At 41.6% G+C, this 17,595-nt stretch overlaps 1 protein-coding gene across 7 annotated transcripts in view, besides 2 other annotated features; it reads left to right on the top strand.

The window, feature by feature from the left end:
* The window catches only part of FLT3 (fms related receptor tyrosine kinase 3), a 97,303-nt gene that overhangs the window by 38,815 nt on the left and 40,893 nt on the right, over positions 1 to 17,595 (top strand). For 3 of the 7 annotated variants that reach the window (NR_130706.2, NM_004119.3, XM_011535015.3), the window contains exons 4-9: positions 4,300 to 4,415; positions 9,088 to 9,217; positions 11,540 to 11,667; positions 11,988 to 12,127; positions 12,225 to 12,378; positions 13,319 to 13,487. Coding sequence is in view for 6 of the 7 variants with exons in the window: in NM_004119.3 (NP_004110.2) it covers positions 4,300 to 4,415; positions 9,088 to 9,217; positions 11,540 to 11,667; positions 11,988 to 12,127; positions 12,225 to 12,378; positions 13,319 to 13,487 (837 nt within the window). In the remaining variant the exon portion in view is untranslated. Of the gene's footprint in view, positions 1 to 4,299; positions 4,416 to 8,838; positions 8,931 to 9,087; positions 9,218 to 11,539; positions 11,668 to 11,987; positions 12,128 to 12,224; positions 12,379 to 13,318; positions 13,488 to 17,595 lie in introns of those variants that run through there. The other 4 variants (XM_047430216.1, XM_011535018.3, XM_017020486.2 and 1 more) reach the window with 4 other exon arrangements.
* Positions 9,614 to 10,114: an enhancer, noted in NCBI's record as "H3K4me1 hESC enhancer chr13:28625785-28626285 (GRCh37/hg19 assembly coordinates)". NCBI's record gives its function as "activates a minimal SCP1, AML or CMV promoter by ChIP-STARR-seq in naive H9 embryonic stem cells {active_cell/tissue: H9 hESC(naive)}" and the evidence as "EXISTENCE:reporter gene assay evidence [ECO:0000049][PMID:30033119]".
* Positions 10,921 to 11,688: an enhancer, noted in NCBI's record as "OCT4-NANOG hESC enhancer chr13:28624211-28624978 (GRCh37/hg19 assembly coordinates)". NCBI's record gives its function as "activates a minimal SCP1, AML or CMV promoter by ChIP-STARR-seq in naive H9 embryonic stem cells {active_cell/tissue: H9 hESC(naive)}" and the evidence as "EXISTENCE:reporter gene assay evidence [ECO:0000049][PMID:30033119]".

Below are 17,595 nucleotides of genomic sequence, written 5' to 3'. Positions count from 1 at the left end.
TCTCTCTCTGTCACCCAGGCTGGAGTAGAGTGGCACAATCTTGTCTCACTGTAGCCTCGACCTTCCAAGCTCAAGTAATCCCCCCACCCCAGTCCTCCCAAGTAGCTGGGACTACAGGCGCGTGCCACCACACCCAGCTAATTTTTTAAATTTTTTCTAGGCACCATGGTTTTTCACCATGTTGCCAAGGCTGGTCTTGAGCTCCTGGGTTTAAGCGATCCACCCACCTCAGCCTTCAAAAGTACCGGGATTACAGGTGTGAGTCACTGCGCCTGGCCTCGGCCTGTTTTTTGTAACTCTTATCTTCAGTGAAATAATGAACTAAAAATACAGTTAGGGCATCAATACATGACATTATATATCTGTCAAATCTCATAGGATGTATAACACAAAAAATGAACCCTAATGCGAACTATCTCGCTCTGTCATCCAGGCTGGAGTGCAGTGGCCTGGTCTTGGCTCACTGAAACTTCTGTTTCCCAGGTTAAAGTAATTCTCCTGTCTTAGCCTCCTGAATATCGGGGATCACAGGCGCACACCACCACACCCAGCTAATTTTTGTATTTTTAGTAGAGATGGGGTTTCACCATGTTGGCCAGGCTGGCTTCGAACTCCTGACCTCAGATGATCCTCCCACCTCGGCCTCCCAAAGTACTGGAATTACAGGCATGAGCCACCGTGCCCGGCCCAAACTATGAACTTTAAAATTGGTTCATCAATTGTAACAAACATATCACACCTATACAAGATGTTAATAATAAGGGAAACTGTGTGTGGAGGGAAGGGCATATATGGCATCTTTCTGTGTCTTCTGCTCAATTTTCCTGTAAGTCTAAAACTCTCTAAAAAGTAAAGTTGGTTGGGTGCAGTGGCTCATGCCTGTAATCCCAGCACTTTGGGAGGCCGAGGTGGGAGGATCACCTGAGGTCAGGAGTTCGAGACCAGCCTGGACAACATGGTGAAACCCCATCTCTACTAAAAATAAAAAAATTAGCCTGGCATAGTGGTGCGGGCCTGTAATCACAGCTACTTGGGAGGCTGAGGCAGGAGAATAGCTTGAAGCCCAGAGGGGGATGTTCGGTGAGCCGATGTCACGCCACTGCACTCCAACCTGAGAGGCAAGAGTGAGACTCCGTCTCAAAAAAAAGAAAAAAAGAAACAAGTCTATTAAGTTAAACCTATACACACAGACACATATATAAGTATATAGAAAGCAGTGAGTGGCTGGCAAAATGTAAAACAAATAGTGAAAAGAATATCTAGGATTTTTTTTCCTTTTTCTTTTTTTTTTTTTTAAATATTTTTACCTTATTTACAATTAAGAATTTTTTTTTTTTTTTGAGGCAGAGTTTTGCTCTGTCTCCCAGGATGGAGTGCAGTGGCACGATCTCACCTCACTGCAACCTCTGCCTCCCAGCTGCAAGCAATTCTCGTGCCTCAGCCTCCTGAGTAGCTGGGATTACAAGCACCCACCACCATTCCTGGCTAATGTTTTTTGTTTTCATTTTTTTTTTTTTTTTTGTATTTTTAGTAGAGACAGGGTTTCATCATGTTGGCCAGTCTGATCTCAAACTCCTGACCTCAGGTGATCCACTCACCTCAGCCTCCCAAAGTGCTGGGATTACAGGCGTGAGCCACCGCACTGGGTCTATTTGGGATTTTTTAAGTGTCTTGTTTTTTAGTTGGATATCATGTTAAAGATAAAATTTAGAAAGTTTTCATTTCATTCTTGTTAGTGTAGCAAGAAATTTCTTTTTTAAATTTATTTATTTATTTATTTATTTATTTATTTATTTATTTATTGAGGCAGAGTCTTGCTCTATTGCCAGGCTGGAGTGCAGTGGCATGATCTTGGCTCACTGCAACCTCCTCCTCCTGGGTTCAAGCAATTCTCCTGCCTCAGCCTCCCGAGTAGCTGGGATTACAGGCACCTGCCACCACGCCCAGCTAATGTTTGTATTTTTAATAGCGGTGGGGTTTCACCATGTTGGACAAGATGGTCTCCGTCTTTTGACCTCTTGATCTGCCCACCTCGGCCTCCCAAAGTGCTGGGATTACAGGCATGAGCCACAGCATCCAGCCAAGAAATTCTTTAAAAAAAAATTTTTTTAAAGGAAATTTATTCTTGGGAAATGCTTGGGAAAAGAACATTTGATCTTATCTATTTTGTTTCACAATATGATAAGCAGAATTGCAATGTTATGTGCTATCTACAGATTATTTAGTAAGACATTGATCTGTCTGTGAGGAACATCGATCTCATCCAGAAAAATGTCTTAGCCAAGATGTGTGGGTAATGTCCTAACCCTGTATAGCTCTATGCTGATTGCTGCCCCCTGCTGTCCTTGTCCTCTTGCCGAAATGAGATGGGGCAAAGGACATAGGTCAATTAAATGCCCTCTTAACGCAGCCTTTCTTTTACATTCTTGTGGCTGTCCTGTTGTCCCTTAGGTGTAGAGAAGGCACGCGCTTTCCAGGAACTATGTAGTAAACAGTACCCAAATGGCCTGCAAGGGGTATCGGGCCCCTTGATAGGGTCTTGGAGAACGTCTCTGTGATCAACTTGTACCAGTTATTTGTATTTGTTTTTAAGGTCAAATACATTCTTCTCTTAAGTGATTTGCAGGACAGTGAGTATAGTTCTGAAGTTGAGTTCTAAATCTTGGAACGCATTCATTTTCCTTTCCTCTTTTGCGATTGTATTACTCACTTCTTGTTTTTTGGCTGCAAATGTGCTGGGATTACAGGCGTGAGCCACAGTGCCAGCCACATTTTTTCTTTTTATTGGGAAGGCATCTCAATATGTTGCCCAGGTTAGTCTTGAACTCATGGCCTCAAGTGATCCTCCTACCTCGCCTCCCAAACTTCTGCGACTGCAGACGTGGTGGCTCATGCCAGGCGAATGGTTCAGAGAAAAAAAGCATATCATCAAAATAGATCTGCAGAAGCAAATCAAGTATATATCCTGCTAATTGACTGTGTTTAAGAATGCAGGCCCATGTTCTATTGAACCTGCTTGCTGCTTTAAAGCAGGGCTTCTCGAATATAACCTGTATTTGGATTGCCTGGGGATCTTGTTTAAAATGCAGATTCTGATGAGTAGGTCTCAGTGGGACCTGAGATTCTACATCTTTGTCAACTCCCAGCTGATGCTAACACTGTTAGAGAAAGACTACACTTTGCACAGTTAAGGGTCTAAAGGTCAGAAAGTGTGAACTTATTTTATTATTTTATTTTATTTTATTTTTTGAGATGGAGTTTCAATCTTGTTGCCCAGGCTGGAGTGCAATGGCATGATCTTGGCTCACCGCAACCTCCGCCTCCCGGGTTCAAGCAATTCTCCTGCCTCAGCCTCCTGAGTAGCTGGGATTACAGGCATGCGCCACCCCACCCAGCTAATTTTGTATTTTTAGTAGACAGGGTTTCTCCATGTTGGTCAGGCTGGTCTTGAATTCCCGACCTCAGGTGATCCACCCACTTCAGCCTCCCAAAGTGCTGGGATTACAGGCATGAGCCACTGTACCTGGCCGTTTTTTTTTTTGTTTTTTTTTTTTAATTTTTAAAAAATAGAGGTAGGGTCTCACTATGTGGCCCAGGCTGGTCTTGACCTCCTGGGCTCAAGTGATCTGCCAGCCTTGGCCTCCCAAAGTTCTGGGATTACATGTGTGAGCCACTGCACCCAGCTTACTGTGCTTTTGTTGTTGTTTTTTCAGTTTTTTTTTGAGACGGAGTTTCACTCTTGTCACCCAGGCTGGAGTGCAGTGGTGCGACCTGAGCTTGCTGCAGCCTTTACCTCCTGGGTTCAAGCAATTCTCCTGCCTCAGTGTCCTGAGTAGCTGGGATTACAGGCGCCTGCGCCATTCTCAGCTAATTTTTGTATTTTTAATAGAGACAGGGTTTCACCATGTTGGCCAGGCTGGTCTCGAACTCCTGACCTCAGGTGATCTGCCTGCCTCGGCTTCCCAAAGTTCTGAGATTACAGGTATGAGCCACCGCACCCGGCCTCCTGTGTGTTTTTAGATGGGAGTTTTCGATCCTAGAAGCTCAGAGAAGGTGAGATGATGGCACCGGAATGGAGCTCTCCCACCCTCAAGGGGAGGACTGGTTAAAAGTCAGGGTTCAACGAGCAACGCCCAGGCTGAGTGCTGGGCACATGACAGAAGCTGTGTTCTCCACAGAGCGGCTTCCGTGCCAGTCGGGGAACGCTGGAGTACCAAACTGCCTTTTTAGTCACTATGAAATTTTGTTTTTAGTTTCACACATTTTCCAAAATAACTAGTTCTCTTTCCTGTTTTGCAGAGGAGTTGTTTCCATGGTCATTTTGAAAATGACAGAAACCCAAGCTGGAGAATACCTACTTTTTATTCAGAGTGAAGCTACCAATTACACAATATTGTTTACAGTGAGTATAAGAAGTAAGTCCAGCCTGCTACTAGTATTCCAGCCTGGAATACCACAATATTTCAAAGGAGTGGTTTAGAACCCGTTAGCTTGACCAGCTCCTCTAGACATATTCAGGTTTCCCTTGATACGTAGTTGGATTGATTAGATTCCTGTCAACCCTCTGTAGAACCTATAGAGAACTGAGAATCACTGATGAATCACTGATGTGTGCCGTGGGCTCTCAGAATGTGACTGCTGCTAAAAACGCCTGGGACGTCCTCTGTTCAGTAGCAGATGGCTGACAGGGAAGAAATGGAAAACATTTTGACCTTGGAATCAGAAGACCTCTGTTCTAATTCTGGTTCTGATACTACCACCTATGGCAGGTCACAATTTCTCTGAGCCCCGATTTCCTTATTGGTAAAATGAGGATAAAAATACGTACCTCACAGGATTGGAAGGTCTCAGCGTGATCCAATAGAACTTTCTGAGATGATGAAAATGATCTTGTCTGTTCTTTCCAATACAGTAGCCACTGGCCACATGGGGCTGTTGAACACTTGAAAGGTGGCTAAGGTGACTGAGGAACTAAAGTTTTAATTTTATTTAATTTTAATTTGTTAAAATTGGAATGTAAATAGCCCCATGCAGCTAGGGGCTACTGTGTTGGACAGCGCGGGCCCACATGCGTGCTAGACCATATGCAAACTGTAAGGAACGGTCCAGATGTTCTGACCAAGGGAGGCAGCTGTGCAGTTGGCAGAGGCACCACCTGCGTGTGCTTTCTGGCTTCTCCTTGTTTCGTCCCCATCATGCACAGACTCCGTGCTATGCACACTGAACTTGCTGCTTCGCCTTCCATGACCAAGAAGGACTAAAGGTGTCTGCATTCACTTAGGTCCTCGTGCCTTTAGGGGCCAGTGCAGTGCTCCAAAAACCCTGGGTTAATATCACTTGAAATTAGGTCCCCCCGACACATTGACACAACTTGCCAGGCTCCCCTCTTCCTTGTCAGTGACTAAATGTCCGGCCCACAGAGGTGCCCTGGGTCAGGAGTAACCACAACTGCCCTTTGCTGAAGATCTTCTGCCTGTTTCATCTCAGATGCTCACAGCGATCCTGCATGCATGTAGATGAGAAAACAGCCCCTCTGAGAGGTGTGGTGGTGGGCACAGCTGGAGGCTTTCTGCACCACACTGCCCTGGGTCTTGTGTGAGAATGTGTGGGTCTTGCTGTCAAAGCTACTAACAGAAGAGAGCACGCAAGAGTCCCAGAAGCATCATCTTACTGGGGTTGGGGGTGGAGTAAGGTTCTAAAGTCAGCCTGTAAGGTATACATGAGCTAAAGTCAAAATTACCCAAAATTTATTCTGGAAAGTCCTTTAATTACTCTGAAAATGATAGGACCAGAGCCCTACAAGCTCCAAAGCCGAGAATCACCTTATGTTGCTCTTTAATGTCGGTCATGTTCCCTGCCCCCTTTCTAGTCCCTCACCGCCTCTGTGGGACAGTAAATACGTGCCCCAGGTTGGATGAAGCTAGGACGTTTCTTGTTCTCTACTTCTCTTCCTCTTTCTCCTTTTTTCTCTCCTTTTAAAATTTTCTTGCCAAGTATAAACAGTTGTATAAGGTAAGTGGGCATCTGCTGTGTCTCTGTTATACTTAGGGTATATTCCTTTCACTTAAGATTTACAATGTAAAAATGTAACAACAGTTATTCAGGTAAATTATAACTTATTTTTAGCATTCTGCAAGGTGGTGGGATCCAAAAAATAGGTGGGAGAGATGTGGCAACAGTCAGTGTGAAAAAGAGGAAAGGGTTTAGTCAACCACAAGCTCAGTATTAACCACCAGCGTGGCATGGTTGCCAAAAAAGTAAATTTGAACCTTGGCAGTGTTCATGAAAATATAACGTCTAAATTAAGGAAATTAATAGAAGCTTATTCATTTCAGTTCTACTTTTTTAAAGATGAATACTGACAAAATGAGCAACCAGGATAGTGGAAAACTTGGAATTCTTTAAATTAGGAGCAGTTGAAGGAATTGGGAATGTGTAGTATATAGAAGGAAATGTTTTGAGGAGACGATAAGATTGATTGCAGTGTAATGCAGAGGAAATTCTTTTGGGATTTGAGTCAGGAAACCTGAGCTAACTAGTTAAAGTACCTTGTATGGTAATTATCTCCCTTGATCTCGGTTTCTGATTTTAAATATTTGAAAGATTTTCATATGGAATCAAAGCTAGACTTTAAAAAAGTTGCTCTAGAGGATATGATAAGAACCAATTGTTAGAAATTACAGGGAGAAAAAGTAAAAATCACCTCAAGATGGGAAAAAATACTTGCAGTTCACAATCAACAAAGGATTAATAGTCATAATATGTAAAGTCAATAAGATAAACAATCTATATAAGTCAATAAGTCAATAAGAAAAACGAACAAAATGAAAACCTAGTAGAGCAATGAACAAAGGACATGAGTAGGCATTTCATTTTTGGAACATGAAACCTAAATGGTCAAGAAACATGTTAAAAGATAAACTTAGGCACTTTAAAGTTGTAAAGAGTATATTTGAGCAGAAAGCAATTCATGAATCAGGCAGTACCAGATGGCAAGCAGGTGGGCTCCAGTGAGGAGATTCAAGGGTAAGACTTCTTTCTATAATGTGTTCCCGGAAGCAAGACAAAGAAAAAATTTGATTGTTTAAAGAAGGACAGTCCCTGGATTGGTCAGTTTGCAGTTCCTCATTGATTAAGCTAAGTTGCATTTTGCTGCTCATATTGAATTGGGTTTGTTTTTTGCTTTTTGTTGTTGTTGTTTTTGTAGAGACGGGGTTTTGGCATGTTACCTAGGCTGGTCTCGAACTCCTGGGCTCAAGCGATCCTCCCGCCTCACCCTCCCTAAGTGCTGGGATTACAGGCGTGAGCCACCTTGCCCGGCCTTTATTCTTTTCCTTTTTTTTTTTTTGAGTTGTGTTGTGATTTGTTTACCTAGGAACTCAAGCTGTTAGAGTTGTCTCAGCCTAATGGACTCCCAATTAATTATTTTAACACATGTTAAATTAATAATGGAGAAATTAAATTAAGACCACAATGAAATACCATTTTATACTTGCTGGATTGCTGAAAATTAAGAAGTCTTGGTAAGTCTATAAAGCAATAGGTGCTCTCATATCCTGCTGTGTAACATAAATTAGTATAACCACTTTGGAAAACAAATGATCATTATGTGTAAGGCTGAATGTGCTCATACCATGTAGACCAGCAGTTCCACTCTTAAGAATGTTATTAAGGAAACTGTTATACACATGCCTCAGTACAAATGTGTAGAATGTTCAGAGCACATGGTTGATCATACAAAAAACTGTGGCCGGGTGTGGTGGCTCATACCTGTAATCCAAGCACTTTGGGAGGCCAAGGCAGGAAGATCACTTGAGCCTGGGAGGTTGAGGCTGTAGTGAGCTGAGATTGCACCACTGCACTCCAGCCTGGGTGACAGAGACCCTGTCTCACACACACACACGGAAGGAAACAACCCAAATGTCTACTGCAAGAAAATGAAAAAATAATGATATATTTACCAATAGAATATTATGTAGCAGTAAAAAAAAAAATGAATAAAGTATAGCTACATGTAAAACCATGGATGAATTTTAAAAACATAAGGTTGGATGAAAAAATGAAGTTGTAGAAGTTACATATTGATTGATAACACTATTTTGAAGCTCAAGAATGAAAAAATCAATATATTGTTTAGTGCCACATATTTATTTGGTATAACTACTTTGAAGAGTCCTCGAATAATCAACAAAATTCAGGATAAAGGATACGTGCAGTTGAGAGGTGGGGAGAAGCATAAAAGTAGATCAAAAGGTATTTATTAATATTCTAGTTATTAGGTGGATAGTGGCTCCGTGGGTATTTGTTGTTGTTATGCTTTGAAATTTACACTCCATATATTCTTTCATATATATATATATATATCAAACAGTACATAGTATTTTCAAACAAAATTTATTGTAAGGAGAGAGGCTGGAATTCAGTATAGGGAAACTTTCTTTAAAAAAAAAAAAGTTTGTCAGAAATTAGAATGACCTGCCCTGGGAGGTCATGAACTCCAGTCTCTAGAAGAGTCAAAGTAGAAGTAGAAAGTTTATGTTAGAAATAGCTGGGAGTGAAGGATGGTGTGTGTGTGTGTGTGTGTGTGATCCAGGGTGAGTGGGAGGCTCAACTAAACCTCTTAAGTTCTGTTGCAATTCCAACTCCACCCTACCATGTTTCTTCTGTCTTTCTAAATCTTAGTATATTTCTGCCTAGTTGCAGATCAAATTATAGGAAGAAAGTTGAGGTCTAAACTATGTGTTAAACAAGGGTTTAAGCCATATGTTATTGCTAATTTCCTTTTTCCTGTGCCTATCAATATTTGTATTTTCACATGGCTTCACTCGACTACTTTAGTTAGCTGTGGATTTGTGAAATACCCAAAGAAATTGGCCAAGAGGAGAAATGTTCAAGTTGACACTGCAGCCACAGCTAAATTTAATATAATGGTTGGTTTGCTTTTGATGCCTTTATTATGAAAAAAGAAAAAAATATGTATACGTAATGGTTGAGAACTTTTCATAATGACATAGAATCCTTTTCTGAGGGGCTGCTAAGAGAATTATTTTTAAAATAGTAAAATGTTAATAACTTATGATGCTTTAGATACCCTGCTTTACACATTAAGAAGACCTTACTTTAGAAAAATGGAAAACCAGGACGCCCTGGTCTGCATATCTGAGAGCGTTCCAGAGCCGATCGTGGAATGGGTGCTTTGCGATTCACAGGGGGAAAGGTATGACACATCCATGGTAGCTGCTATTCTCATAATTTCCTTTTGGCCTTTTTCTAATGTAGTTGACATCAAGCTGTATGTAAAATTTAATTTATGCTCATTTAAACAGGAAACTTTGGCTTCTTAAAGTTAAAAAATGGCCAGTATAGGGCCGGGTGAAGTGGCTCACGCCTGTAATCCCAGCATTTCGGGAGGCCAAGGTGGACAGATCACTTGAGGTCAGGAGTTTGAGACCAGCCTGGCCAACATGGTGAAACCCCATCTCTACTAAAAATACAAAAAATTAACTGGGTGTGGTGGCAGGCACCTAAAATACCAGCTACTCTGGAGGCTGAGGCAGGAGAATCTCTTGAACCTGGGAGGCAAAGGTTGTGGTGAGCCAAGATCACGCCATTGCACTCCAGCCTGGGCAACAAGAGCGAAACTCCGTCTCAAAAAATAAATAAATAAAATTAAAAAAATAAAATAAATAAGTAATACAGAATGGCCAATGTGGGCTTCACAGGGAGGACAAGGATTTTTTTGGTAAGGGGCTTTTTGGAACCCCTCAAATCAACTGCAGGGCCCTTCCTGGGCATCATGCTACACAAGTAAAAGTCCCTCTACGTTCCAGGATTGTTGGCTCCCTGGGCATCTGGTTGGGGCAAAAAGAAAGATACTGATTTTAAAGTAGAATTATCTTATAAGTAAGAAATTCTAGGCTGGGCACAGTGGCTCACGTCTGTAATCCCAGCACTTTGGGAGGCCAAGACCGGCGGATCACGAGGTCAGGAGATCGAGATCATCCTGGCTAACATGGTGAAACCCCATCTCTACTAAAAATACAAAAAAAATTAGCCGGGCGTGGTGGCGGGCACCTGTAGTCCCAGCTACTCAGGAGGCTGAGGCAGGAGAATGGCGTGAACCTGGGAGGCAGAGCTTGCAGTAAGCCGAGATCGCGCCACTGCACTCCAGCCTGGGTGACAGAGCGAGACTCCATCTCAAAAAAAAAAAAAAAGGGAAATTATAGGCTGGGCACAGTGGCTCACACCTGTAATCCCAGCAATTTGGGAGGCCGAGGCAGGCAGATCACCTGAGGTTGGGGGTTCGAGACCAGCCTGACCAACATGGTCAAACCCCGTCTCTACTAAAAATACAAAAATTAGCCAGGTGTGGTGGTGGGCATCTGTAATCCCAGCTACTCAGGAGGCTGAGGAAGGAGAATTGCTTGAACCCGGGAGGCGGAGATTGCAGTGACCCGAGATCGCGCCATTGCACTCCAGCCTGGGTGACAGAGTGAGACTCCATCTAAAAAAAAAGAAAAGAAAGGAAGAAAGAAATTCCTTGTGACAAAATGTTTAATTTCTGATTATCCTGTTTGTTCTGGGAAAGCAGTCTAATATGATTGTTTAAAGATATAGAATCCAGAGCCAGATAGCCTGGGTTTGAACCCTGGTTTGCTTAGCAGCTGTGTGGCCTTGGACAAGTTACTTACTCTCTGTGCCTCATCAGAAGAATGCGGATGACAACAGATACTTATAGGATTGCTATTCTGATTAAATGAATTGATATATGTAAAGCACATAGAACAGTGCCTAGCCAATACTAAGTAAGGTATAAATGTTTACATAGTTTTTCATATATGCCAAAGTTAAGTTCTTACAAAGTAAAAATTCATGCAGTTTGAACTAATTAAAATTTACTAAACAACTTTTTTTTTTTTAAAATAGGACCAAATAGAAGGAGAAAAAGTACCAAATACTTTGTTCCAAAGTGGTACAAAAGTTCGCTTTCTGCTGAGGCAGGGAGAGGGGTTTTGCTCTGTTGAATACTTGGGAGTCTTGGCTGACTTCCCTTGTGGGTGACACCTTGGCCCTCCTCTGTTCCTATGGGAACTCGGGTGACTTTTGAAACTTTAGCTTCCCCCTCCCTTACTGCGTCCCAAAAGGATGCTTACCTTGCTAAACTTCATGAAAGCCCAATCATGCTTTTTCTCTTCTCTCTTTCTTCTCTTTTTTTCCTTTATCTTCTTTCTCATTTTTTTCCCTTTCTTTCCCTGTCTTTAAACAACAGCAACAAAGAGATCACCAAACATGAACAATTTTAAACTGTTTTGTTATGTAATTCTCCTTAGTGTTATGCTAATTCATTGCGATAATGAGTAACTAGCTAGCTCCCCTCTGAGCTCTTAGCTGAAACCATAGATATGGGCTTGTTTACCTTTTGACCTTTTGTTTACCATTTGACCCTTAAAACTGGCTCTAGAACTTTGTTCTCCTCTTGAGCATTCATTTGTAATTTTAAAACTTGTTTAGCCAAATGGTACTTCTTTTCTAATTGCAGCTGTAAAGAAGAAAGTCCAGCTGTTGTTAAAAAGGAGGAAAAAGTGCTTCATGAATTATTTGGGACGGACATAAGGTGCTGTGCCAGAAATGAACTGGGCAGGGAATGCACCAGGCTGTTCACAATAGGTAACACTATAATATCATGCACTTTCATTTTCAGTGACCGGTTCTTAGCAACTATCAGGGACTAACAGTAACTGCGTAGGTGATCATTCAACTTCAGAAATCCTATCATTCCTTCAGGTCACAGTAAATGCAATATTATGGATTCTGTAAATGCTGATTTCTTCATAAAAGAGGAGTCAGTCTCTAAAAGCTTCTTTTATTAATGTGGTTAGTAATATTTGAGATGATGCTAAAGTCTTTGTTCAGAATGTTCAGGATATCTTTTGTGATGAGGCAAAAATCACTTTTTTTTTCTCACTTGGGATGTTTTCATCTCCTAGATCTAAATCAAACTCCTCAGACCACATTGCCACAATTATTTCTTAAAGTAGGGGAACCCTTATGGATAAGGTGCAAAGCTGTTCATGTGAACCATGGATTCGGGCTCACCTGGGAATTAGAAAACAAAGCACTCGAGGAGGTAATAGGACAAGTTTGTATTCTGAAAATGCAGGAACAATTAACTAATAGTCTGGATTGAAAACATTAAATGCAAACTCTGTTTTATTAAAACCTAGGGCAACTACTTTGAGATGAGTACCTATTCAACAAACAGAACTATGATACGGATTCTGTTTGCTTTTGTATCATCAGTGGCAAGAAACGACACCGGATACTACACTTGTTCCTCTTCAAAGCATCCCAGTCAATCAGCTTTGGTTACCATCGTAGGTAATGCAGGCTGCTCACACAATCTTTATTCCTATTTTTAGTCGCTGTAGTGTGGAATGTGAAGTATGTGGTACAAATTCTGATTTCAATATAATGCTACTATCAAACACTAAGAAAGAAACTGAGTTAGAATAGCTTTGCAAAGATAATCTGCCCACCCTCTTCCTTTTCCCGTTAAACCAGGCTCGCTTGAATGCCACTGTCTTTGCATATAACACATTGTAATATGACCATCTGTTTGTGTACTTTTATCCTCCAGTAGACTGTAAGTTTCTTAAGGACAAGAACAACTCATTCTATCCTTGTAGTTCCAGAACCTGACACAGAGCCTGACACAAAATGGACAATAAATACTAGTTCTAAGAACCAACTAACCGCACTGTTAGGGCAGTGAGCACTGAGAGACAGTACAAGCCCTTAGATGCACTGAAATTTTGGTGGGGTATGTAGGATCTGAAAATAACCACAGTTCAATAATCTCAGATTAGGGCACAGCGTTCAGCCATAATGAAAATGCCGAGAAATACAGCGATGCTCTTAGCAGATTAATAAGGAAGTGTTCCATAAGGCAACCTCGTGAATATTGCTAGCCAGATCGCTCTTTTATTTGTGCCTTGAGTTTATTTTACTCTCTCTCATCAATGGAAGAGTGGTGCTGGCTGAGAGCAGGGGCCAGACAGTCAATTATCTACATCCCATTCTTTTTCTTTCCTTCTTTCTTTTTTTAAACATTTCTTAACTTCGAAAGATGATGAGCTCAGGCTTAGAACTAGGGATAGGACTCCTGGGTTTTCACTTGGATTATCCAACCTGACCTGCAGCATGCCAACACTTGAGTTTTCCTGTGTTAAACTGATGAATACAAGTTTATTTTATCTTCTCAATACGTTTCCCTATGAATATTATTAACTAACTCATAAATGCCTATTTTTTCTTACAGAAAAGGGATTTATAAATGCTACCAATTCAAGTGAAGATTATGAAATTGACCAATATGAAGAGTTTTGTTTTTCTGTCAGGTTTAAAGCCTACCCACAAATCAGATGTACGTGGACCTTCTCTCGAAAATCATTTCCTTGTGAGCAAAAGGGTCTTGATAACGGATACAGGTGAGACCACAAAGGACTCTAAGATACCATTTTTAGCATAATTCTCCTTGCTTGTCGCCCTTGAGAAGGACAGTTTTATACTTATGGAAGCAAATTCACTTATGAGTTTAACTATTATTGAGTTGAAATTGGAGATAAGAAAACAATAAGCAGATGTGAGGATACAGTAGCAGTCTTACCATTACTTTAGATAATATAACCTGCTGCATGAAAACAGAAAGAACCGTATTAGTCTGGTCTAGTTTGAGTCTGGTTCTCTGGCATTTTCTGAGTCACAAGGTAGTTTTTACTTCCTGTTTGAGAGTGCGGTGTGTAGGACACTGAGTCTCCCCTAAAACATTTGCAGATGATTGAGGAAGTAAAACTCCTTAAAAACAGAAAAACATTACTCATAGGTGTATTGATTTAAATTTTCAAAAAATACATGCAGAAATAGCCCAATAGTAAGTGCTGAAGGAAAATGTTGTTTTCCTCGGGATTTGTATGAGAAACTATGCAAGATTCTTTTTTTTAAGAACAACAAATTTTCTTTTCTTTTTCTTTTTCTTTTTTTTTTTTTTTTTGAGATGAGGTCTCACTCTGTCACCTAGGCTATAGTGCAGTGGTGCAATATTGGCTCACTGCAACCTCCACCTCCCAGGCTCAAGTGATCCTCCCACCTCAGCCTCCCAAGTAGCTGGTACCACAGGTGCACACCACCACACCTGACTAATTTTTTGTATTTTTGGTAGAGACAGGGTTTTGCCATGTTGCGCAGGCTGGTCTCGGACTCTTGAGCTCAGGAGATTCACCCTACCTGGGCCTCCCAAAGTGCTGGGATTACAGGCGTGAGCCACTGCACCCAGCCGAAAGATTCTCTTGTGGGAGGAATTCTCCATTCCTTCTTTGGAAAACAAAAAACAACTTTCCCCTATATCTTCTATAGTTATGACATCTCTTGTCTCTTTAAACTAATGCTATGGAACATGGTTTTGGACTAGGCTATGAGACACTGAGACGCACATGTTATCTTTCAAACAAGTCAATGGACTAGAATAAATCATCCTTTCTCAGCATGTGGTCTGTTGAACAACTGTGTAAGAATCATCTGAGCAAATGTTTAAAATGTGGATTCCTGGCTCCCATTCCAGACATGCTGACTCAAAACTGGGGCAAAACGCTCAGACTCTGCTTTTTTAATGAGAACCTTTGGTGATTCCTATCACAGGTCTAGATCTGTGCTGTCCGGTACGGTAGCCACCAGCCACATGTGGCTATTGAGAGCTTGAAGTGTGTCTGGTCCAAATTGAGATGTACTCTAATTGTAAAATACACACTAGATTTTGAAGACTTAGTATGAAAAAAAGAATGTAAAATATATTATTAATAATTTTTATATTGGCCGGGCTCGGTGGGTCACACCTGTCATCCCAGCACTTTATGAAGCCAAGGCGGGTGGATCGCTTGATCCTAGGAGTTTGAGACCAGCCTGGATAACATGGCAAAATCCCATCTCTACAGAAAATACAAAAATGAGTTGAGTGTGGTGGTGTACACCTTTAGTCCCAGCTACTTGGGAGGCTGAGGTTGGAGGATTGATTGAGCCCAGGTGGTCGAGGCTGCAGTAGCCATGATCACGTCACCGCACTCCAGCCTGGATGCAGAGCAAGAACCTGCCTCAAAAAGAAAAAATAATAATAAAATTAAAACAATTTTTACATTGATTATATATTAAAATGATAGTATTTTGGATATATCGCATTCAGCGAAATATGTTATTAAACTTAATTTCACCTGCTTCCTTTTACTTTATACAGCCAACAGAATTTGTAAATGATGTACAAGGCTTGAAGTTGTGACTCACATTCTGTTTCATTGGCTAGCCCTGTTCTAGATGAAGAGTAGGAGTTCTTTTCACCTTGATTCCGCTAAGTGTTTGTTTCATGATTATTGTTACTCTTTATACCTAAAAGGGATTTGTACTAAAAGTCCCTTGTTGGGACTTTTAGAATCTCAGTGCAGGGTTTGCATGGAGTTGTCTACTGTCTCTTACTGAAACCCCCCAATGTTCAGAGCATTCATTTTTAAAGTAATTAAGAATGCAGACTGGTCTGGGAGCTGACTGAAACACACTCCCCCAAACTCAGGGTTTGTCAACAGTGGCGCTGCTGGCATGTTGAGCTGGATAATTCTTTGTTGTGAAGGACTGTCCTGTGCACTGTAGGATACTTTTCAGCATCCCGGGTCTCCTCCCACTGGATGCCAGGAGCACATTCCCTTTTCCCAGTGTGACCAAAAATATCTCCAGACACTGCCAAATTGAGAAAAATAACCCCTGGCATTTTTTTTTTTTTTTTTTTTGAGAACCATTGCCTTAGAGGCATCAACCCACAGTCATCGTAAGCTGTTATTCAGAAATATCAAGCTTTTTTTTTTTTTTTGAGACAGAGTCTTATTCTGTTGCCCAGACTGAAGTGCAGTGGCACGATCTTGGCTCACTGCAAGCTCCTGGGTTCAAGCAATTCTCCTGCCTCAGCCTCCTAAGTAGCTGGGATTATAGGTGCATGCCACCATGCCCAGCTAATTTTTTGTATTTTTAATAGAGACGGGGTTTCTTCATGTTGGCCAGGCTGTTCTCGAACTCCTGACCTCAAGTGATCCAACCGCCTCAGCCTCCCAAAGTGCTGGGATTACAGGCGTGAGCCACCGCGCCTGGCCCATCAAGCTTTTAAATGTAGAAGGTTGGAGAGTCAGCCCCTCTTTACCCTAGTTGACTTGATTACCACTTGGCCTGTGTTCAGAAGGAAATCAGCATATCACTGTCCCCTCTCTCCTTTGTATCCTATCCCCATGTTAGATAAGCTCTTAGCATTATGGGAATCTCTTCTGAACCTGATTCAAAGAGAGAAGGGGTCGATTCAATTTAGTTCAACAAATATTACTTTAATATCCTCTTGATGGGTGTGATGCTGTGATGGGCTGCAAGAGTGAATAAGGTAATGTTGCTTTCCCTCTCCCGCAAGAATGTACACAGATTGCTACTGTGCTGGTGATATCTGGTATAACCTTTTGAGATTTTACAGAATCGCCAGTTGGGGACCATGTCACTGACATATGGGTCATGGGCCAATGTAGTGGGCTGCTTCATGTAGTTTCATTCCATGGCTACAATCCATACCCATGACCCCAGATTGTTATCCTATAGAGGTAGCCAAATGAATGAATTAGGTGAGCTCCTGACTCCTATAGCGTTTTGTACCTCACTCATTCCTACTTATCTGGCAACAGATAAGTATGTATGTCACATCTCACCAGGGAGTTTATAAACTCTAAGAATAGGTATGCTGCCATATTTCTCTATCTTTGTACAATGCCTTGTTCAGTAAGTGTGTTTAATAAATGAATGAATTCATCATCATATCTGGAATGCAACTCACAGTGCAGTCTGGGCCAAAGATGAGTCGACAGCATCCTCTTCACTGCAAGGACCATGCACATGGTTCTTAGCACAACACCCAGTACTCAGTGTTTATTGTTATTTGAAAGTTCTTGAAGAGCTACAGTGTTTGTGCTAATGATGTGCATTGTTGGTACTGATAATGTACCAGGTGTTATGGGCCACTGACGACACACAGCAAAGGAAAGATGGGCCCTCCTTCTTCATGAGAAAACATGCTCAAAGTACTGAACAAGAAACGAACAACACAAAATTTGAACACGCCTCTGAGTGCTCTAAATGTCTTTTTCTCTCCACATGAGGCTCTATGTTGAGATGGGGATGGAGGACTAGATTATAGTCAGGGGTAATTTCCACTTTTCTTTGTTTTTGCCTTTTTTTTTTTTTTTGAGACAGAGTCTCACTCTGTCGCCCAGGCTGGAGTGCAGTGGCATGATCTTGGCTCACTGCAACCTCCGTCTCCTGGGTTCAAGTGATTCTCCTGCCTCAGCCTCCCTAGTAGCTGAGATTACAGGCATGTGCCACCCTGCCCAGCTATTTTTTTGTATTTTTAGTAGAGACGGGGTTTTGCCATGTTGGCCAGGCTGGTCTCGAACTCCTGACCTCAAATGATACGCCCACCTCGGCCTGCCAAAGTGCTGGGATTACAGGTATGAACCACCGCGCCTGGCC

Source organism: Homo sapiens, chromosome 13 (assembly GCF_000001405.40).
Source record: "Homo sapiens chromosome 13, GRCh38.p14 Primary Assembly".
Taxonomy (NCBI): domain Eukaryota; kingdom Metazoa; phylum Chordata; class Mammalia; order Primates; family Hominidae; genus Homo; species Homo sapiens.
This window is presented reverse-complemented; position numbering and strand designations above follow the sequence as displayed.